The following is a 22,916-nucleotide window of genomic DNA, read 5'->3' as shown; positions in this document are numbered from 1 at the left end:
CCTGAACCTCTCCCTCAGTGTCATTCATTTGTGGGCCTGGATCTGCAGTGATAGATTGTCAAGTTAAGAAGGGCAGGTTCCTCGGGTTCTCCCCCTAAATGAGAGCACAGGATTACTGAGAAGCAGTTCCGTCAAGAATACAAAGTCTTGTAGACCTATTTGTAAGGTATGAGCAAGGCTAGTGGAAAGAGTACTTGAGCATACTCCCAAGTACATGACTACTGCTGGAGGTCCTCACTGACACTTGGAACCTGCATTAGTTGGGGCCTTGGAGAATGTGGGCTGCAGGGGAGAATTTAAATTTAACTGTAGGGCCAGGAGTGGTAGCTCTCACCTGTAATCCCAGCACTGTAGGAGGCCAAGGCGGGGCTATAGGAATATAGAATACATATTCTATAGTCTTATATAAAGAATGTCTTTATGACCTGGGGCTCAAAATCCATAAGAAAAGTTATGATTCGTAGATATTTTTTGGGCCAATTTAAAGGTTTGCTCTCTGCAGTTTAAATCTACCAAAACTTATTGATATATAGCTGTTAATATTGCAGATATTAAGACATCTCTAAATTGAACCTGGACAAATTTTAATTATTTTAAGACCAAAGACAGACATCGAGATCTTTGTTTAAATATATTTGGATATGAGTTTTTTTAAAACAAACAAAACAATAAACCATTATGTTTACACTACATATAAAAGAGCTTGAACAGTACTATGTTGTATGTAAGTCACTTTGACATACAACTAATGAATATCTGCAATCCACTAAAAGTGAATCACGGAAGTAATTTTTTTATTTTGAATATAATTCTTGTTTCCATGTAATCAACATAGATTTTGCTATTCTAGAACACCCCTTTTGATTATTTGTTGGCAGAGTGTTTGCTGAGCCAGGAAGGAACCAAAAAGGTCTAGAGACTAATCTTCAGTCTGCTTTATTCTCTTATGCCTGGGATCTACCCTCAATCGTATCTCCCCCAAAGCATGAATTACTAAAGAAAGACCTATTTGAACTCAGCGTAACCCCTTCCCCTTTCTTCTTGGCTTTAGCCAAGCTGTGTTTCGGAATGTTTTTAGTTTGTGACTTTGGAGATGCGGAAGCAAATACCTGTTATTGAAACCAGATTGCGAGGGTTTAGTGAACTGTCAAGCCTGAGGTCAAGAGGAGCTGTTACTCTCAGGACAGTAGCAATTTAGTCAGCCCGTTTTTGCTTATGAACCCTCTCTCTTCAACTTCTCTCACCTGATCAGGCTGAGGACTTCTTTACTTATGCATGTGCCTAAAATTTCTGGGGACACAATCAGCATCTATCTTTCCCTGGGCTCTCACCTAATCCAGTTTACCATGGTGTGGTGGCAGTAGTAGTGTCCAAGGATCCTTGGCCTTGAGGTTTCAGTCAAGGTCCAGCTAATCAAGTGAAGCAGACATCTTTCATCTACCCTGTTCCCTGAGCTGCTGCTGCTGCTGCCGCTTAAAAAAAATTGCCATGCAATTTTAAAATGAAAAATGTTTCATCTCTCATGATCCCAATTTAAAATGGTTAGGAATGTGGGCCAAGAGTTTTCCCAGCGACTCTTGGATTTTTCCCAGTTGTGCTATCTCATTTGCCTGATGTTGGAAAGCAATCTAGGGGATGTCTTTATTATTCCTCCACCCCCACTGACTTGCTCCCACCCTGTTCACCTCTTTTCTTTTTCTTCTAAGATGGAAAACTATACTCAGCCACAGTGACTGACTTCCTTGCCATTGACGCAGTCATTTACCGGAGTCTTGGAGAAAGCCCTACCCTGCGGACCGTCAAGCACGATTCAAAATGGTTGAAAGGTGAACAAACAATTAAAAGAAGGAGGGTCGGAGGGGAGGGGAATACACATCTTGTGGGAGATTTAGAGTCTGGAGGGACCAGACTGTATCTTCATTTGAGTAATGGCTTCTGACAGACAGAAACATGTAAATTGCATCTTTGGCTTCAACTGATTTATTTACCTCCCTTTTTTCCTTCCCCTGAGTTTCTGGAGTATTAACAAAACTACCAATGCCACAACAATAGAATACATTACATTCATGTTTTCTTGCTTCAAGCTCTCATTTCTGAGTTCTGCATGAAAAGAACTGAACAATGTATTCATGGAAGGGGACAGGGGCTTGGAGGTGGTGGAGAAGAGGAGAAAAGCTATTCACAACCCTGTATGAGTCAGGGTGACAAGGCAATGTATACAAAATCTTCTCTGTAATAGGGGCATTCCATTGTGGAAAATAAAATTACAGAGATATGCAAAATTCCATATTTCTTCATTGTTGATTGCAAAGCTTCTGAAAGAGATAATGTGTAAGTGTGAATGCCTTGTGAAATCACCAGCACTTGCATGTGTGAAGTCATTTGAAATGGTTAGTGTTAACCAAATGTCTAATGGTGCTACACTTTTAATTAATAACATGTCTTTGGCTACACTTGATTGAAATTCTGTTAACTCTGTTTGACATGTTCCCAATTAAAGTGCCTGTTTGTCTACAGAACCATACTTTGTTCAAGCCGTGGATTACGGAGATTATATCTACTTCTTCTTCAGGGAAATAGCAGTGGAGTATAACACCATGGGAAAGGTAAGAGGGGATGCTGTCCTTGGCTCAGTTTGTAACATTTTCAGAAACCCACACCTTTGGTCAAATGTTGTTATAAATGATCTTGAAATGAGAGCCATAAATCTAATAACAGAGTGCGGTCTGGAGGCCCTATCTGCTGTTTCAGAACAGTAACGAAATCGCAGGAAATTTCTTAAGTATTTCTATGGAAAATTTATGTTTGGTTGGTTTCATGCTGAGATTCAAGTATCTTTTTTTTCTTTTTGAGACGGAGTCTTACTCAGTTGCCCAGGCTGGAGTGCAGTGGTACAATCTCGGCTCTCTGCAACCTCTACCTCCCGGGTTCAAGTGATTCTCCTGCCTCAGCCTCCCGAGTAGCTGGGATTACAGGCATGCGCCACCGTGCCCAGCTAATTTTTTTATTTTTAGTAGAGACAGGGTTTCGCCATGTTGGCAGGGTGGTCTCGAACTCCTGACCTCAAGTAATTTCACCTGCTGCAGCCTCCCAAAATGCTGGGATTACAGACATGAGCCTCCGCACCTGGCCCGAGATTCAAGTGTCTTGAGATGTGGTTTCCAGGTATACTCAACAGTTTTGTTTTTTTTTTCTTAATTGAGTTGCTCCACAGAGACTGTAACTATGCAGTATCTTTAATCAAATTGAGTTTTGATTTTTGTCTTTATTGCAAAAAGCAATATACAACACTTAGGGGATGTCCATTTTAGTTCTTTTTACCAGAGAGTAGATCAAGGTCCCTAAGTTGGAGGGTAACATAGAATGCCAGGGTGGCTTGCACAGATTCAGGGCCCAGAGGCAGCTAGTGAGGATGGCAGAGATTGTGCATACAAAGTGTGCTTTTGTTTGAGGAAATAAAAAGCTAAGCAGTCTGTATGGAAATGACTTTATGTGGCTCGGAGCTGATTCCCTGAAGGATTTATGACTCTGTATTAAATGCCACAGCCTTATCTTTTAAAACATGCTACTCTAATGCTGAGTTTTCCTCTTTTTTTCTTTTCTTTCTTTTTTTTTTTTGTTACTGATTTTAGAAACAGTATTAAGCACCTTGTTGTTTTGTTTCTGTTTTCAAGGAATGCAGATTCTACTAAGATCTCCTTGCAAAATGAATGCATTTAATTTTCCCTATGTGTTTTTCCTCTGCAGGTAGTTTTCCCAAGAGTGGCTCAGGTTTGTAAGAATGATATGGGAGGATCTCAAAGAGTCCTGGAGAAACAGTGGACGTCGTTCCTGAAGGCGCGCTTGAACTGCTCAGTTCCTGGAGACTCTCATTTTTATTTCAACATTCTCCAGGCAGTTACAGATGTGATTCGTATCAACGGGCGTGATGTTGTCCTGGCAACGTTTTCTACACCTTATAACAGGTAATCATGCCCTAGCTGTGTTGACCTCATCAATTCTTCCTGGCTTCCTTCTCCCAGGGGGTTCTCTTCTAATAAACCATATTTGCAACTGACTGAAAATTGCATTCATTGTGTGTAGCTAAGAAGCACTTAACACTTAGTTTTCATCAACAAATTAAAAGTAGTTTATAAGCACTATTAAGTTAGGTTTTAGGGGAAGTAATTAGATAAATTATGACAATATCTTCTATTTATATAAGCCTGGTATATAAACACTTTTTATGTGTTATTTATAAATCCTTCTAGTAATCCTAGAAACTAGATAATATTGTCTTCTTTTTCCACTTAAGGAAAGTGAGCTCGACATATTATACTACCTGGTCTAAGTAGTCAGTAGATGGAAGAGGCAGTTTGGAACTCAAGAATGTTCGTCCTGTCTCTTCTAGGTCATCTAATAATTTGCAGTATTTGACTTTTAATATTCTCATGACGGGATCAGTACCTTTTGAAGTTAAAACATTGGAAATGTATTAAATTGCTACAGGGTGAAATCTAGGATTCAAGATAAAGGACTTTGGTTATTAACCTGTCCAACAAAGCCACCCTTGGGCAAGCTCACTCACCAAGTTGGGCCACAACCCAGACCCCAACCACAGCACCAGAATCTGACTCTGGAAGGCTCTAGTGAGAATTTATAAATCATCAAACATTGTACCTACAAATTATGAGTGTCAGCCTAGTCACTCCTATTTTTGTATTTACTTAAAACTAAGACTTTGAGCAACTAAATGATGCACTGGTAATTGTTCCTAGAGCAGTGAAAATGTGTATAGAACAGAAGGAAGATAAGCATTAGTGTTTTTCCTTAGTACTCAGCTCTCTGTTAAGCCAACAAGATTTCAGAGTCCTCGTATTGTTGTGTGAAAATGATCCTAACAGTGTGCATGGTCGTGAAATCTAAATTCATGCACTGTGTTCTCATTTCTGTGCAGAATTTTGGGTGTTCTGTATTGAGTATGTTCCTCTAGTAATACTGTTTTGCTTTGAATTATAAAACTTTTTACAAAAACTTTTAAGAACTTGATGAGTGCCTAAATGACAGGCACCAAAATGATAAAACTAAAGGATAACATCTAGAAAGAAATGCTTAAGAACAGAGCAAACTTCATGAAGGATGAAATCATGTTCCTCAATTATACAGCGGATGAGAGTCAAGCTCCCCACTGAAAATAATATGAAAATACGAACCCGTATTGCACCAAGAAGTATTCAGTTAGATATAAGTAAGCTTTAAACATCTGTAGGGATTTTTAGACTTGTGGATAAAAACGATATTTAAAAATTCAGGCTTTTATTGCTCATACATCAGAGCCTATCTCTCTAGGATTTTGAAAAAGTATACTGTCTTGGCACATGGAAATGCAGGGGCTACCGGAATCTAAGACCAGTTCTAGTTTTCTAGTTTCTGTTTTGTTTTGTTTGTTTTGTCTTGTTTTTTAAGGGTGTGGGTTACTTTGTGATTACAATATAGTAGTAAGCCCTTAAATATTATAGATAACTCCATTTACAGTATTTTCTTAAACGGCCCCTAAGAAATATCCACTTAGTGCATGATTATGCAGTCTCAGAAATCATATTTGTTTGGTAATCTGTACCCACCTAAAAATATACATACCCATTGTCATCTATAAATTATAGTCCCTCTGTTTTCACTTTCTCTGGTTTCATCCCTCTACTTCATGCTTTACACATGCAAACTTGGTCATGTCAAATTGTTTCAAATCCATTTGCCCTGAGGATAAAGCCCTAGCTCTCTGGCATGACACACAAGCCCCCACAGGGTCTGGCCCCATTTCCTTCTCTAGTTCATCCCCTCCCATCCTCTGCCATGCAGCCTGTGCCATGGGCTGATCGGAGCAAAGATCTGCTCCTTGAATGTGCCATGCTTTGCTCATTCATTGCTTTCTGCGAGATTTGCCCACCTGACCAACATCTGCCCACTAAAACCCTGCGGGTACTTCAAATGTCAGCTAGTCACCTCCTATGGGACCTTGTGCATACTTCTTTCATACTCTGCTCTTACCAGACCGTCCTGAAGATGTTGTTGTTATGATTTTTGTTATTATTATTATTATTTTTTTTTTCCTGAGACGGAGTCTCGCTCTGTCACCCAGGCTGGAGTGCAATGAGCCATCTCTACTCGCTGCAACCTCCGCCTCCTTGTTCAAGCAATTCTCCTTATTTTTGTCATTATTCTTATATTTGCCTCCACACTGAAGTGTGAGCCAACTGAGGGCAAGACCCTATGTTGTTTGTGGTGCACTTACTGCCTTAAGTAGGGGTTCTATAAACATATGTTGAATGAACGGAAGATGGGAAGGAATGAAGGAAAATTGAAAGGAAAGAAAGGAACGAAGGAGAGAAATGTAAGGAAGGAGGAAGAAAGGATTTCACAACTGATTCTAACCTCAGGAAGACTACGAAACCCTAGGATATCTTTAGTTATTACGAGGTGCATCAGAAAATACTTCAAATAGTATTTATCCTATTTTTCTTAATATATAAAGAAAATACTATATGTAAATGTGTTACTTTCCGAAAAGGAATATGTGATGAGAGTGTTACGAAATCAAATAAATAATGCAAAGGTTCTGAAATTCCAAAACAAATGAGAATCACTGTCTTTTTTTTTTTTTTTTTTTTCTTCAGACAGAGTCTCACTCTGTCGCCCAGGCTGGAGTGCAGTGGCTTAGTCTCAGCTCACTGCAACCTCCACTTCCCAGGTTCAAGCAATTCTCCTGCTTCAGCCTCCGGAGTAGCTGGGATTACAGGTGCCCACCATCATGCCTGGCTAATTTTTGTATTTTTAGTAGAGACGGGGTTTCACCATGTTGGCCACTCTGGTCTTGAACTCATGATCTCAAGTTATCCACCCACCTCAGCCTCCCAAAGTGCCAGGATTATAGGCGTGAGCCACTTCGCCCGGCCTATCACTGTCTTATACACTTAATTCTGTGAACAACATATGTACATGTATAAATTTATAAGCATTTAAAATTTATTTTGCCACCTTATTTTAAATAAGCATTTTAAGCTTCTCCCTATTTCTTGCTTTAAGCAATTATTATTAAGCAATTATTATTCAATAATTTTCTTATGAAATTAAAGATGGAATAAATTCTCCTAATCATTTATGAAGTTATTTTTATATCTGTTCAACATTTGCAAAATTCAAGACAAAATCATTCTCTCTGGATGATATTCCCTGCCCTGGATGATGTTCCCACACTGCAGGGCACCCGTGTCTCTTGTCCTGGGCGCTCTTGCCATGTAATGACCCACTATCTCAAAGCCTGATTAAAACTCTTGGCCAGCTGGTGCCTGTAATTTATTTGATCAAAATCAAGGAGCAACTCTAGTCAAAAACAAATGTGGGTCCAAATGTAAACTGTGCACCCAGATGAATGAATAATTCATTCCTTCCCATCATTGATTAAAAAAAGAAGCCTAAGTCCTTCCAGGGGTGCCAGGCAAGGATATAATTATAGGTGGAGCTGATGGCCATTATTGTTATTTATCACTTTATAAAGTACTTTATTTGCAAAGTGATGGCATTTTAGAAACTTAAATTGTTTAGTCTTACGTAAGTAATCAGGAAGGTAAAAATTTAAATGTACAGAGACTAACATAAAATTTGTGTGGGTTTCCCCACAAACATATTCTCACACCCTAAGTTCTTGGCTCGAAAAACCAAATTCAAAGAAGCAATATGTGGACAATGGGAGAGCATTTTTGTTTCAAATTTTCACCAATATTAGTGACACAGAACGCTCTCCAGAGACTTCAGAGAGGTCATTAACTGATAATTAGTACCAGGGAATTCATGAAACTTCTATCACTAGCTCAACAATTCTTCTTTTATAAATAAAATCAGTTCAAGAAGCAATGTAGACATGAAGAGTTTTTTTCCTCTCTGTGAGCTTCCTATAACTACCCCATTCTTTAAGGCAACTGATGCAAATTTGATTGAGAGAAATATTTTCTTTGTGTACTAAGATCCCTTATATTTATAGTGTCCAAGGTATGAACTTTAAATTTCATTTGCTGTACCAGGAAAGTTTCTCTGGAGTATGTTCCAAACCACATGCATAACCATTGCATGAGTAACACTTGATGTGAAATATCATGTTGTAGCATCCCTGGGTCTGCAGTCTGTGCCTATGACATGCTTGACATTGCCAGTGTTTTTACTGGGAGATTCAAGGAACAGAAGTCTCCTGATTCCACCTGGACACCAGTTCCTGATGAACGAGTTCCTAAGCCCAGGTATGTGCAAATATTCATATGGCTATTTTAAACTTTAGAAATGGCAAAGCTTGCACCTCTGATAATGAACATCCTATGAACTGCGCACCAGTGCCTTCCATGCCAGCCAAGCAGATTGCCTTCATCTCATTAACCAAAACCCAAAGTTACCTTCTCATATACTCAAACCAATGTTCCTCTAGTCTTCTGCTTAACCTCCATATATGTTATTTATCCAACGTAACACTACAATGGTGGAAACCATCTGAGGTGTCACTGGCTTATAGTTGGGAAAACTGAGGCCTGGAGAGGTAAAGGGTATTGTACAAGTTCAATAGCGGGGGTTGGGGGTGGTGATTTCCGCTGCTTCTTTATGCTTCCTTTCAATTTTATAGAGACCCATGTCTTTAAACCCAAATAAAATATGAAATATAAATAGTGTTTTCCGGATTTGTGACCAAGCTGGATCAGAGCTCAGTCTAGGACTCTAGACCGAGGGTGAGAAGAATCCAGCGGGTACAGTGGACCATTAAGATGTCTCTGGTCTGCCAGGTTTTGGTCTGTTTTGGGTCCAAATACAGTGCAGTGTCCTCCTCCCCAAATCATGGCTTAGAATTCTTTTCATGGGATACTATGGTCCAGAGGCAACCCAGAGACCTCTCAGTCCTATGTAGTCTCTTCCCAAACAGGCTAATTCATCCTAACTGGGACAGGAGGGAAGTCCCCGCTAAGCCCTTTGCGTGCCTCTCTTCTGTGGCACGCACTCACACCTCCATTGCAGCATTTGCACTCCAAGTTTCATAGAAACAACCCATGGTGTCTGTCTTCCCCAGGAGTTGTGTGCCTCTGGAAGGAAGCCCAATGTCTTACTAATTTTTTTGTTTTTCAACTCTCTTCCGCAACCTCCAGTCCTCCCCACAACATACCTAGCCAAGTACACTTACATGAACTAACTTAGATAATACGAACCACTTAAACCCAGAGGAGAAACTCATCCATCTTCATTACCTGAATTATCTGGCATGTTGATATTCTGTTACTTATGGAGAGCAGACTAGGTGTGAAAAGCACACCCCAGCAACCTCAGACAGATAGTCTTAAGTCATTGCCTGGGATTGTTAACTACCTTCTAGATAGTTCTAGATAGTTCCTTCTAGCAGGAAGGGGAGTTCAGCCTGAGGGATCAGGTTTCAGTAAGTTCTTATGTAATACCCTCTCCTTGGTATGTAAAGATGGTGTCACTCAACCAATACCAGCACACATACTTTAAGTGATTTTCTACTAATGGCAGTGAGTTTAATTAAACATCCTTCCACATGCCTGCCTCGTCCCTCTTGCAGCAGTCAGGATGCTCTACGGGGCTGGCTGGGTTAGTGCCTTGAGACAGTGTGGACATAGGAGTGGTTCATGCTGGTGTCGTGAGGGTCCAATCTCCTCTTCTGCACCACCCAGGCAAACCAGGTGTCTGGACAAGATGGGTTTCAGTGTTTCCCTAATCTGACTTTGCTGGGATGACCCTTGACTCCTGAAACCATAGAATTTCTTGTAGAAGCAAATTTTTATGGTCGTCATTCAATGACAAGAAATGACCTTTCAGGAAAGAATCTGATATAATTGGCTTTTCATACCTGCCAAAATCAAACAAAAATAAAAACAACAATAAGAAACAAAACCAAAATGTTCTCTGAGCGAGCCCCAGGTAATGAAACATGATTACACGGAGTCTTGCTGGCACATACCCTGGTGAGTTTTGGAGAGTCTTTTCTTTCTACACTTGCGAAAACGTCAACCTAATTCTTTCCCTCTGTAGAGTAAATGCATGAGGAATCTCTAGCAGCCTTTTTGGATAAGTAAAACCATCCCCGAGATATGTGCAAACCACACTCACTCACTTGTTTCAAGCTCCATCACTGTTTACTGAGGTTTGTTTGTGCTTCTGGGAGGAAGCCAGCCTGCCCCCAGCTGAGGCTGAACTGTGCTGGCTGAGGCTCCTCAGAAATGAGGAGGCGGCTCAGAGGAAATCTCAGCATATTGTGCTTGGTGGCATTCTGCATTGTTCAACTTCCTCCTCTCAGGCTGCAGTACATTCTCCTCCATTCCAGATGCTTAGAGAAGCAGTTCATTCAAAGAATTTGCCATAAGGCAGAAAATAAGCTCCCTCCTTCCTCACCCTTTGTTTCATTTTAGGCCAGGTTGCTGTGCTGGCTCATCCTCCTTAGAAAGATATGCAACCTCCAATGAGTTCCCTGATGATACCCTGAACTTCATCAAGACGCACCCGCTCATGGATGAGGCAGTGCCCTCCATCTTCAACAGGCCATGGTTCCTGAGAACAATGGTCAGGTGGGTGTCAAACAAACCGTGTCCTGATGGATTTCCTAACTTCATCTCATGTCGGAGAACCAATCAGTGGATCATGCTTTGAAATGCCACAAACATCTTCTGCTATCCTGGGCATTCATTCAGCTGTGAAATGGTGGCCGATTGGTTGGATACCACTAAACCCCTATACACACATTCCCAGGGAGAAGAGTTCCAATATTTTCAGGCTAGTTGGACACATGCCAGCAATTAGAGGAAGGAAATACCTTTCCTTCTGGATTAGCCCATTGATCCAATCTGTGCAAAAATAGAGGAGCAGTGAAGGAGAACCAGTGAATGGATGTGGATACCTGATTGGTTGGAAATGATTACAAAACTTGCAGCAGATTCCACCTGAGCATGGCTCATGGATTGTTTGCTGTCACACAGAGCACAGATACCACATTTGCTGGTGTGAAGGATTCATAGTTTAATATTCTTTTTCTGAACTGGTGGCCAACAGCGAAGGGACAGCCAATTAGAGATCTGTGGTAGTATTAAAAAACTCTTCCTTGTATTTATTCAGAGCTTATTTCCAAGCAGTTCAACAGGCTTTCCCAAGTACCATCCCACTGTGGTAGCCATCAAACAAAATGTTAATTAACTTTACCACTATTTTTATACTATGACTTTATTAAAACATATTAAAGCACTGTAATAGCTCTGGCACACAAAATGGAAACCATGGTATATAACTTGCAGGAGGGTCTATGTTTTCTGGTTCCAGCTATGGTGCTTAGGACAACTAGGTCCCCATGGAGTGTCAAATGTCCAAGGGATTTCAGAGAAAGCAAATTGCTAGTAGGACTTATCCCAGGTATGCCCTTCACCTTTAGCTTTAAATGGATATTGTTTGGCTTGCAGGTCCTTACAGTTTTTAGTAGTGCCATTAGCACCCTACCTCCTCATCCTTCAGAAAGCTTTCCAATCAAACATTTTGTTGATGAAGGCCTTGTATCTCAGAGGAAGAGTATGGAGAAATCGCAGTCATTGCTTTTCAATGTTAAATTAAAGGTTAAATGAATTTCTTATTACTTCTTACCCTCCTCATAGGAGACATTAGTCTTTTCCTTGTTCATGAAGGGGATTATTGCTAAGTGGTTTCAGGTGGTTTTGGCTATTATAGTACTTGGCCTGCAAACACACACACACACACACACACACACACACACACTCTCTCACACCTCCTTCCTCCCCTTTGGAGCCACACTAGTGCTCTGCAAATGGAAATAAAGGGCCAGAACCACTTGAGAACATTATTTATATGCATATATTTTTCTTGAGGTTATTACTAGAAGGCTATGTCGCAGCTGTTTGAAGTGGAACAGGGAACACTTTAATGATAGACCAACAAAGAGATAAGAAATGTGGTCCTGTCATTTTAGATACCGCCTTACCAAAATTGCAGTGGACACAGCTGCTGGGCCATATCAGAATCACACTGTGGTTTTTCTGGGATCAGAGAAGGGAATCATCTTGAAGTTTTTGGCCAGAATAGGAAATAGTGGTTTTCTAAATGACAGCCTTTTCCTGGAGGAGATGAGTGTTTACAACTCTGAAAAGTAAGTGGAATATTTGGTTCTTTCTTAGTAATTATTTGTTATGCTATTATGGCCCCTTTCATTCAGAGAAAATCATGACCGACTGAGGTTTTATGCATTTTTAGATGACTTTTTAGTGCTGTTTGTAAAAATTTAACACCTAAAAAGCATTATTTTCTCCTTGCCAATGTGTGTGTGTGTGTTTATATAGATACATATATGTGTGTGTGTTTATATAGATACATATACATGTGTGTGTTTACGTGTGTGCAAGAGCAGAAGGGTTTGTTTGTTTCACCGCCAGTTAGATTAAGAGATTGCCTTGTGGGCTGGGAAGTGGGATGTGAGGGTGGGGCCGAGAAAAAGAGAAGAGTCTATTAATGATATTATCTTGCCTGATGAAATTAGATGCAGCTATGATGGAGTCGAAGACAAAAGGATCATGGGCATGCAGCTGGACAGAGCAAGCAGCTCTCTGTATGTTGCGTTCTCTACCTGTGTGATAAAGGTTCCCCTTGGCCGGTGTGAACGACATGGGAAGTGTAAAAAGTATGTATTTTGCCTCATTGACAATTAGAAAGTCCATGGTGGCTAGGAAACAGTCCTAGGTAGCTCATGGTCATCCTCTTCCTGCAGAACCTGTATTGCCTCCAGAGACCCATATTGTGGATGGATAAAGGAAGGTGGTGCCTGCAGCCATTTATCACCCAACAGCAGGTAGGCAGCCTGAGGTGTGGGAGAGGGTGAAGTGGCTTCCAGCCAAGGTGTATTCTAGATGTAAGATTTGCTCTGCTCACACACACCACCACACAGCTTTCTGTGCAAACTCCAGCAACGGGACTGTCAGCCTTTCTCCTACCCTTTCCCATTTCATAGAGCCTCACCACATCACATGTGGCAGATTTCCAATTGATTAATCATCCTCGGACTGATTAAAAACACAGAATGGAAACACAGTGGGCTTCAATGTATTCCCTGGAGAGAGAGACAAGAAGGTGCCTGCCTTGATCATCATGGTGGGAGAAAAGCAGAGAAAAGGAGCAATAGGATACCAATTAGATTAGTGAGTGGTTTGTCCAGCCATAGCAAAACCGGCTTTTGTAATTGACTGTGCAGGGCTGAGAAGAAATTGCAGAACATTTGTTAAGCAATGTAATTGTACTGCAAGCATGGTGTATACATCCAATAAACCTTTTCCTGCGCTGAAGAACAGTTGACCCTATTACTCATCAGGCCGTCAATCAATTCTTGGCAGTTCTCCAACAGATCAGCTAGATGAGGCCAGTCCACCATGCCTATGATTTTGGTGTTTAAAATTGTTACCCTGGCTTTAAATGCTTAGATGGCATTAGCTAAGAGGTTTCTTTTTATGCTTTTACTTCAGTGGATGTGAAATCCAAAATAAATTTGCAGAAGTATTCAATGTTTATCTTTGATGGGTTGTGGCAGGCAGTTTAGGAGGTTAGACAGCACAGATCTTTCTTCAACACAGCCATTTCTTCAACCTCCTCAGATCCAAAGGGGGAACAGAACCATCTTTAAATCACTGTGAGCCTCCCTTCCTATTTCAGAATAGCTAAACAAACAGATCAAGGGCATATCTGATGACCACTACCTGCATAATTTGAGGACAAGTACTCTCGTAAACAGAGCTGATGATAACTATAAAATCTGACCTAGAAATTTGACTAATGCAAAAGGTTGAGTCTCTGTATATTATTAGAACAGCTTTGCAAGTAGCATTATTGACATGCTATAATCTTAGAGCTCTGTACCTTTGCATGGGAACCCTCAAGGTGGAGGAGAAAGGATCACAAAGCATGGTGAGGGGAGCTATGAGATGACCTATGTCCTTTCTATGTTCAACATGTGACCGAAGGCTATAAGACTGAATTTTAAAAAATTATTGTTAAGTCAATATAAGAACCCCAAAATAGTTTCCTTAAGGTTTGCATTCATATTTCAATGATGCTGGCATTGCTTAAAACATGGGGCGTTCCCTTTGGAGAGTGGGCTCCAGGGCATGATGAATATTGGCTGTCATTACCACTAGAAATCTTCATCTTTTGAGGGATTTGATTTTTAATGTGGCAAAAAAGATTAGAAACCAAACACGGTGGATTATTAGATCAAGCTGTGACTTTCAAAATAGTTTTCCTATACGGCTCATAAATAAACTCTGAAAGCAGTTGCAAAATAAGAGTTTCAATTATATTATGGGAATATGTACAAAGTGCCCCCAAAGGAAGGTGACTCTGGTGTGCTTATTTTAAAAATCAAAATAGCTTTTATTAAAATTGGTTTTGTTAATGTCATGTTGCTTGTACAGCCCAATGGTGACCTAGTAGACTTGGAAGAAACATGAGCATGTCAAAGAGAATGAGAGTAATACTCCCAAGGACTGGGGCAGGGCTGGGAGTGAACAAATAACCAAGCAGTCTCCACAAAATGCACCACCGGCTCCTGTCCCCTCACTTGGACCTTTGAACACTTTATCGTCCAAGTTTTTGGCTAGATAAATGTCTAGGCAAAAAACCTTGCCTAGGAAGGCAAGGGTAGGAGTGAAAAAGAGAATAGAGAAAAAAAGATTTTTCTTTTTAATTTATAGACTTCCATATTGTTTCTATGAGGCGTGTATTTTAACATCTAAACTTCTTAAATGTTTAAGAAATGCTCAGAGAATTAGAGTAAAGAAGGATGTAAATAATCTGCAAGCTAATTATCTCCCTGAATAATATCTGAATTCACTGCTTAAACCATGGCTTCTCTTTGGAGAGTCACCTAAGACTCGTTTCTATAAACTTCAGAGATAAATTTTAAAGCTGTTATGTATTTCTTTTTTGCACCTGCCACTCAATTTATCAAACTGTGTTACTGTCTTTAGTGAAGCTTGACTCATTTCTGAAGACTCACGTTATTGTATTCATTTCTGTCTCTCTTTCCCTTCCTTTTTTAAAAGACTGACTTTTGAGCAGGACATAGAGCGTGGCAATACAGATGGTCTGGGGGACTGTCACAGTAAGTACAGTCTTTTATCCATTTTTATCTTTGGGCAAAGATGCTTTCAGTGAATGGCCTAGAAACATCAGCTCACATGTGGAACTGAGTGCAGCTGACACTAAAGCATGCGTAAATGACGGAAATCATCTTCTAAATACCAAACAAAGAAAGCAGTGCGTTCTAAAGCCAGTGTTGTCAATGTTGTCACTATAAATGCTGGCACCTATTTCATTAATTCTAATGCAGGGGAAAAAATTCACCCTAGAGGATATTAATTGTAGCAAAGCAGTAAGTTAAATCAGCATTTCCATTACAAAATGACAGTTTTGCTGTTTTTAAAAACATGCTTTTATACTGTCATTTTCCGCCAAATAATAATAAGATTGATCATTGTACTCTAGCTTTTTAATTGAGTGGGCCTGTTTTATTCTTGAACATATCGACTAACAAAAGCAATTATGTTTTTAAATTAGATTTGTGTCTATTACCATATGTAATAGGAAAAAAAATTTCAGAAATAACCCACAAGTACAAGGCAATTCAAAATAATCTTTTTATAGGAATTGGCCTACTATGTAAATCTCAGAGATAGTTATTAAATGGTAACATTTTAGTTAGAACTTTACGTAAAGGATCTGGCTCAAATTTCTGCCCAGTTGTCATGTGACCCGATTAATATCAATATTCTCCTGAAAATGCTTTATTAATGCTAATTTAAAGAATAATACCATACTCTTGGAAAATATGTTTAGTTTGTGCTGTTTCGAATGTTATATATGCTGAATTTCAAGAAGCTTGCATTCAAAATGGCACCAAATAATAGCTTCTAAGGGAATGAAGCTATATTATCCTGATATTTGATTCTATAACGGAAGTCACGGACATAACTCTAAATCTTTCAGTCATAAGTACTGAAATTTCAGACTCTAAAGTGTCATTCAACTTTCTACCTTATCTTTTTTAGAGATTAGTTATAATCAAATAAAGAGGGCTAAAGGCAGACTTATCTCCAAATCTTTGCCATATACATATTTTTCATTTACAAATATTATATATTGGCAAAAATTCTTATTATGTCTTACACACAAAATTGATGAGTTAATAAATAAGCATAGGAGAAGTGTCATCACTAAAAGATGTATGTTACGTGTGTGCGTTCATCCGTATCAGGGAAATAGTTTGATGTTTGATCAGTGGACCTTAATCATCTTGGTGCATTATAGCTTTATTTGCAAGGAAACAGGTTTTAAGATGTGTGTGTGTGTGTGTGTGTGTGTGTGTGTGCATGCGTGCACGCTTTATTAACAGCTTAGTTAGCTGATGTTAATGAGCTATTTTCATCATATTTATATTACTTGCAATAGTGGTGTCTGTAGAAAAATAGGGGTGTAGATTTGGATCAAATCAGAAAATACGTGAAACATGTAAAGATGGTTGGTACTGTGTCTATAAAATGTCCACTATACCAGTAGGCTCACACCCTTATCTGTGTTCTCAGGCAGAAGAACCTAAGGAAGCCTCTGTATGTAGCATAGGGGACGCTCTCAGGTCCCAACCCTGTGCTTTACTCTTTATTTCCAGAGTAATCTTAGTGGTCAAGCAAGCCCCTGGATCTGCCTTCGTGCTTTGTAGTGTGCCTTTGACCTTTAACCCCACTCTTGCGGAGGCACTTGCCAAGGGTGCTTGCTCGGGGCAGGAGGTAAGGCTGCCCCTCTGCCTGCCTGCCTTTGCTCATGGCTTCTCCTCTCCCCGTGTTCCTGCTGAAGCATGAACTACCTCTATTAGACAGACCTATCCCCACATAGGTATTCAGGGAGGATTTCTCTAACTGGTACAATCATTATAACTGGTACAAAATTAACAGGATTTTAAAGGGAAATGAGGAAATCACAAAGAGCCAGTGTTAGAGGCTGAGTGAACCAGAGATCTGACCCCAACACACAGCACACACCCAGATATGTTGCCTAATATGTGTAAGGGTTTGTTTTTTGTTTTAACTTCCAAACTAAAACCCCTGATGATTTCAGAACACTGTAACACTGGACAGTTTCTCACAGCATGGTTGTGAGGATGAAGTAAAAAGAGAATGTAAAGAATAAGTGTTTTCTTTGTAAGTGTGGTCCAGGTATCACTTATGCATATGCATGTCCCTCTGTATAAAGAAGGGTTTAAACTCTCGAAGTCACCTATAATTGCAGTTACCATTTCGTCTGCCAACTCTTGCATTTTCTCTGCCTCTTGGCAAAGGCAGTGACTTGGAGGAAATTCACTTGGTGGAAGAGATATGGAGGTGAGAAATCGGACTGAGTAGAAGGCATCTTACATTACACGCAGAAATTAAAAAGCACTTACTTAGTATCGGGGACCATACGCTGGCATAGTTCTGTGTTAGCTCATTCCCACTTATGTAAGTCGCCCCAAGCAGAGCGTAAAACATTAAGTAACCTTCTCCTCCCTTTTGTCTTTCAGATTCCTTTGTGGCACTGAATGGTAAGGAAGATATTACTCTCATAATTCCATACTGGTGGAAACCTATCTGAGAATGTCTATTTCATTAATCCTCTTGAGTATGTTCAAATCTTAAGTTTCTTTTTAATTAATTTTTTATCCTCATCATTTTTTTATAGACATTTCAACTCCTCTACCAGATAATGAAATGTCTTACAACACAGTGTATGGTCAGTTTACGGATTTTTTTTTTTTTTTTAAATTCGTGAAGTCATTCATCCAGCAGTAGTTTATAGTTTTCATTCCTAAACATCATGGACCAGATTCTTTGTTACTTTAGGGCCCCAATTCACTAAAATTATTTATTAATTTCACCGTCCTTCAAAAATTACTCTGCCTATGTGAGACAATTGATGTGGGAGACTGAGTCCTAAATTTTTAATCCAGATAACATGAAATATGCCAACCTTAGGGAATTTGGTGAATACATTTAATGAGTTCTTGAGGGAGAAGAAATTGCTTTTGAACATAAGTATATCCAAGACAAAGGAATAATGCTCCTAACTGATAGACTATAGCTCCTCAGCTGATACAGTTCACCATCCCCCAAAATGCTGGCACTCAGGACAATACCCTCTGCTGGCGAAAATCTATACAGGATACACAGGTCAGGCTCTTATTAGACAAAACTTTCCAATATAGTATGAAATTGGCCACTGAAATTTAAGCTCAAAAAGAGTATGAATATTTAGATATGTTTTCAGTGCGATTTCTTCAGAATGTAGACAAGGAAGAGTGACGCAGTGGAAATGATGTGCAAACAGGATTTATCTCATTGTTCTTGGTCTGAAATACACAATCACTATATTAAACAAAGCTACTAAGCCCATAAACAGAATATTCTGAACTCTTTATATGAGAAGTTGAAATGGAGCTGTTCCATTTACATTTCTCAAGGTACCCCCAAATATTTATTAGGGTAAACTATCCATGTGTTTTTTTAAAGTATGATATGAAAAACATCCATGTGATGGCAAATTTAAGCCTCTGCATTATAATGCAAGCTGTGAGTTTCATGTATACACAGCCATTTTATAGTTTGTGTGTTTAAGATATATAATCAAGCAACAGATCCAGGACAGTCTTTAAGTACAGAAATAGGTAAATAAGGGAGGGAGAAAAATAAATTTTAAAAAAGGGAAAAGAAAAGAAACAAAGGGGAAGGAAAAGAAAGCAATGCAGGTTTATGATCCAAAGAAATAGTTCCTGATGGCTACAAATGTGTTTAATAGCTCTTTGTAAACTCTCACTCCCTGTGTCAAATTAGCATACATAAATAGCCTTTTTGAATATCTTAAAGACTGGCTTATACATTGGAGCTGTGTAGGTATGGAAAACAGTGCTTGGTTTCTCCTGACTGGCCTCCTTGTGAAGTAAGGCAGTGTGGAGTAGATAAGCCCACAGAATTCATCCAACTTTAATGTTCCCTCATCTATGATTGAAACCAGAATATTGAACACCAAAGACTAGAAGAAAAATTGCTCAGAAGGCAAATGTCACCTAGTTGAGACTGCCTTGAGGAAAAAACCGCACTTAGCATCTGCTTTTTTCCAATATGATACTTTGCGATCATTTCCTATAATTGAATAGTCTTCATCAGATTTTGAGAAATTAAGATCTTGAAACGAATTGAACCAGCAACCTCCCCAGCATTCATCAATCATACCAAGACCAATTTTAACTCCCAGGTAATTTCTTAAATAGACAGAATAATTAAACTATGAGATACTCTTATGAACAAAAATCACTACCTAAGCTATGTTCTCTCTTATTTCCTTTACAAAAGGAAAGGTACTTACTTATTAATGCTTCCGTGTTAACACTTTAAGGGATGATGCTCATTCATTTTCAGGTCTTGAGGCAACTAAAGAAGAGGTGGAATTTTTCTTTCAGCTAATGATCCTATCCATTTCAGGCTAAATCTATTCAGTGTGAAGCAGTTAGATGATTAATTGACCATCAAAATGAGAGCTGGTTCAGACAGTACTTACAAAAATATTGGCAACTTTTTAAAATAAACCATTGCAAGGGATGTTAATTTTGGAGTTAATAAACCCAGAATAGATTTCACTAATTCATTCGGCAAATACTTGTTGAGCAACTACTGTGTCCTAGGCACTGTACTGGGCACTGTATTTGTAGCATCGAAAGAAGAAACAAATTGCTAATTGTATGAGCATGGATATAGACAAGAAAGCCAATTCCAAAGTAAAAAGTGCATGCACACTGTTTCTAGCTGTATCCTCTGCATGTCCTGCACTCTGTGGCTGAGTGTAGGCTCATAGAGCCAACTACAAAACCAGAACTGCCCAACCCAGGAAAAGGGATCATTTCAATAAACGATGCAGAGTTTCTGCTTGTCAAAAGCTCTGTATCACACCAGTTACATATGCAAGAATCCCTTTTAGTGAATTGGGCCCTGATTATTTTCCTTCTCTCTTCCTCTCTTGTATTGATTTAGTGTCTCTGTTTTGTGTCTAATTGTCTACAAACATTGTTAATAGGTTAGAGTAGTATGAAGGGTATCTAACCTCTGGAATTACAATGACTTGTAGATATAGAGAAACAATATGATGCATTAACGTTAACTTTCAAAATATACCTATTTATTTGTATTTTATGAGAATGATAAAGCATAAGCTCCATTGATTAAAAGGTGACCTTTCTTATTGGACTGATAAGACAAAAATATAGATTCCAAATCTATTGACATATGATATCACATCCACAAATGTTTGCCTATTTTTGTAGCATTATTTTGGTTGCAAAGTCTCTTAGGGAATGCACAAAAATAATACAACCTTAAAAATCAGACTAGAAGATGGAATATAAGTGGTTTCCTTGTAATTTTTTTTTAAGCTTGGAGAGGTAATAACACATCTTTGAATTCAAACTGAGGACTGCTGCTTAATGGTGCTTTTACAGGGTGGTTCTAAAATTTTTGAGAGTCAGGTATTGCTTTCTCTGACTGTTTAATTCACCACTGGCACGTGTTTCCTATCCTCAAGCATAAGTTTAAAAGATTACAAACCTCATGCTGCTCAGTTTTTTCTTTCCAGTAAATCAGATGCATGGTTTCTCTAGATTTACATATAGAAAATCGAGATGTGGTGGGTATTAGACTAACACTTCAGTGATAGGAAGAAGAGACTGATTTCTCATATTTGTGTAAAACATTCTCTTACCTAACTACCATCTGGTCCACATTAATTTCCTCTCATAGCCATAGCTTTCCATTACCAATGAGTTTTCCATGTATTCACAGCATATGGGCCAGGAAATCTTTCTACAGAGAATGTGTCCCTTAGGCATATATTTCCCCTAGATTACCGTATTAAGAAATGTTCTCCCTAAACCATACTTATGGCATTACCATAAAATTGCCTCTTGAACACAGTTAAATTGAAAGTGCTCAAAATGCGTATCAATTCAGGTAAAAGAAATCTTGCTACTTGGAGGGGAGGTATTTTTTATTCTTCCCCACTTTCTCTTTCTAACTCCCTACAAAGCTATTTCTAATTATTTGCTTATGCTGGGCACTGAATTTTCTCTTAGGCTGACCATATATTTTATTAAAGTAGTCTTGAATTCAGGAGTGGAAAAAAAAAAGTTATGTTTTAGACCTCAATGTAAGCTGAAAGGAAATAAAGGAACTTCTATATTTCCATTTCTCAGGCTGATTTTCCTTCCCCTGTTCTCTTATCTGTATCATGACATGAGATGTGAACCTCAGAAATGTAAAAACAAAAAGTCTAGAATAAAGCATTCCTTGAATTTTAAATGAACATGCTTTTAGCAGCTGGATACGAAGCAGACTATTTTCAACAAATTGAATGTTTCCCACTTGTGTGAGAGCCAAACAAGTGCCATACAGAAAGGGACCTCTTCAATGTTACCAAAGCTTTGTGGCAGCATTTAAGTGTGGTGGCTCCATAGAAGTCACTATAGCATGGACGAGCCACTTGGCTTGCTTTTTCCTGCTAATCAAAGTTTTAAGAAGATAAAAAGCTATCTTTGTTATATATGTTTTGTCTAATTTGCAATATTACAGTCTCCTGGGGGGAAATCCAACTTCCAATAATAATTGTAAAAAAAAAAAAAGAATGCACTGTACTTATTCTTTTAATCTGTCTTTCTAGAGGCCAATATTTTATTTATCATGTGCATGGTGATCATACTTCAAGGCTGGAGCTTTTGGAGTTGTTGTGAGTCTGCCCTACTTTCCACCAAAGGCACCAATTATACATGCACAGTAGTTGCCCTTGTATCTTTTAAAAATTGTTCAAGAGGTTGTTCTGTGTAAGCCAATAACTCCACTTGAAAATCACGAGGAGGTCATATTTTATTTCTGCCAGAGAGAACAGGTATCATTGTGCCAGCTTGGATCAAAGCACCTGATACAATCTGTATTTAACCTTGTGGAATGATGGAGGGAGAGCTTACAAACGAATTCACAGGAAATGGCTAGAGTTTCTGCTGTAACTCTCAACCTAGCCATTCTTCTCATATTATCCTATGGTAGCTTATCTGAACCTCAGAAATCTATCCTTTTCTAATTTGAATCATTTTAGTCAACGCAGCCTCAGAAACGGAAACCATCTATTGAAATAATACACAAAAGGGACAGCCGTAATAGCGTGTAGCCGTTGAAGCCTCCATTCCAATGAAAAGACAGTGGGAATAGATCCCTTTGGAAACCACTAACTAATCCCAGAAAGAGGAATGCCTGTGAAGTTGAGTTGAACCTGAAGACTAGACACACTGTAGAACCTCCATAGGAAGGGTGCAGAGTAACTGAGTTACTTGTGATAGGGACAAGACTTACCCACTACCAGAAACCTGCCCCATCGGTCACAAATGGGATTCCCAGAGTGGACACTTTCTGTGTTTAGTGCTGCCATGGGAATATCAAAGAAGGACACTGGCCTTTCTTGAGCACCTATGTGTCAGACACTGTGCAAGATGCTTTCACCATTATGTCACTATCCTCCCAACACCGAGAGGTATCTTTATCCCCACTGGGTGCACAGGAAGAGGTTAAGTGATTCCCTGAGGCCCACCCAGCAAGTATGAGAGATAGGATCTGGCCCTTCATTTTCTAACTACAAGTTCAATGGGCTTTCTGCTGAACACACCCCACACCACCACCACCACCACCACCACCACCACCACTAAGCCGTGTCATTTCTAGGGCCATCTCCTCTCAGTCTTACAGCCAGCTTGGGTGTCCCACCTCCAGGCCTCTGCGCAAAGGGAA

General features: G+C 39.3%; 1 protein-coding gene and 1 long non-coding RNA gene across 9 annotated transcripts in view, besides 1 other annotated feature; one reads left to right on the top strand and one right to left on the bottom strand.

Annotated features, from left to right (window-relative positions):
* SEMA6A (semaphorin 6A) overlaps positions 1-22,916 on the top strand; it is a 131,269-nt gene that overhangs the window by 84,110 nt on the left and 24,243 nt on the right. For 4 of the 8 annotated variants that reach the window (XM_006714663.3, XM_024446138.2, XM_017009675.2 and 1 more), the window contains 11 exons: positions 1,707-1,826; positions 2,518-2,606; positions 3,748-3,965; positions 8,139-8,270; positions 10,437-10,592; positions 11,996-12,172; positions 12,560-12,700; positions 12,788-12,868; positions 15,111-15,169; positions 17,621-17,641; positions 21,799-21,864. In XM_006714663.3, the coding sequence (XP_006714726.1) occupies positions 1,707-1,826; positions 2,518-2,606; positions 3,748-3,965; positions 8,139-8,270; positions 10,437-10,592; positions 11,996-12,172; positions 12,560-12,700; positions 12,788-12,868; positions 15,111-15,169; positions 17,621-17,641; positions 21,799-21,864 (1,260 nt within the window). Of the gene's footprint in view, positions 1-1,706; positions 1,827-2,517; positions 2,607-3,747; positions 3,966-8,138; positions 8,271-10,436; positions 10,593-11,995; positions 12,173-12,559; positions 12,701-12,787; positions 12,869-15,110; positions 15,170-17,620; positions 17,642-17,778; positions 17,830-21,798; positions 21,865-22,916 lie in introns of all 8 variants that reach the window. The other 4 variants (XM_005272042.5, NM_020796.5, XM_047417451.1 and 1 more) reach the window with 2 other exon arrangements.
* Positions 1,521-2,720: an enhancer, noted in NCBI's record as "CDK7 strongly-dependent group 2 enhancer chr5:115823690-115824889 (GRCh37/hg19 assembly coordinates)". NCBI's record gives its function as "activates an origin of replication core promoter dependent on BRD2, BRD4, P300/CBP, MED14 and CDK7 cofactors, with strong dependence on CDK7, by STARR-seq in HCT116 cells {active_cell/tissue: HCT116}" and the evidence as "EXISTENCE:reporter gene assay evidence [ECO:0000049][PMID:35650434]".
* Positions 19,041-22,916, bottom strand: part of SEMA6A-AS1 (SEMA6A antisense RNA 1) — a 24,176-nt gene continuing 20,300 nt past the window's right edge. The window contains exon 3 of the long non-coding RNA NR_109879.1: positions 19,041-19,523. This is a non-coding gene — a long non-coding RNA (SEMA6A antisense RNA 1). The remainder of the gene's footprint in view (positions 19,524-22,916) is intronic.

This window comes from Homo sapiens, chromosome 5, assembly GCF_000001405.40.
Source record: "Homo sapiens chromosome 5, GRCh38.p14 Primary Assembly".
In the NCBI taxonomy this organism is placed as follows: Eukaryota; Metazoa; Chordata; class Mammalia; order Primates; family Hominidae; genus Homo; species Homo sapiens.
Note: the sequence above shows the minus strand (reverse complement) of the source record. Positions and strands in the feature narration are given on the sequence as shown.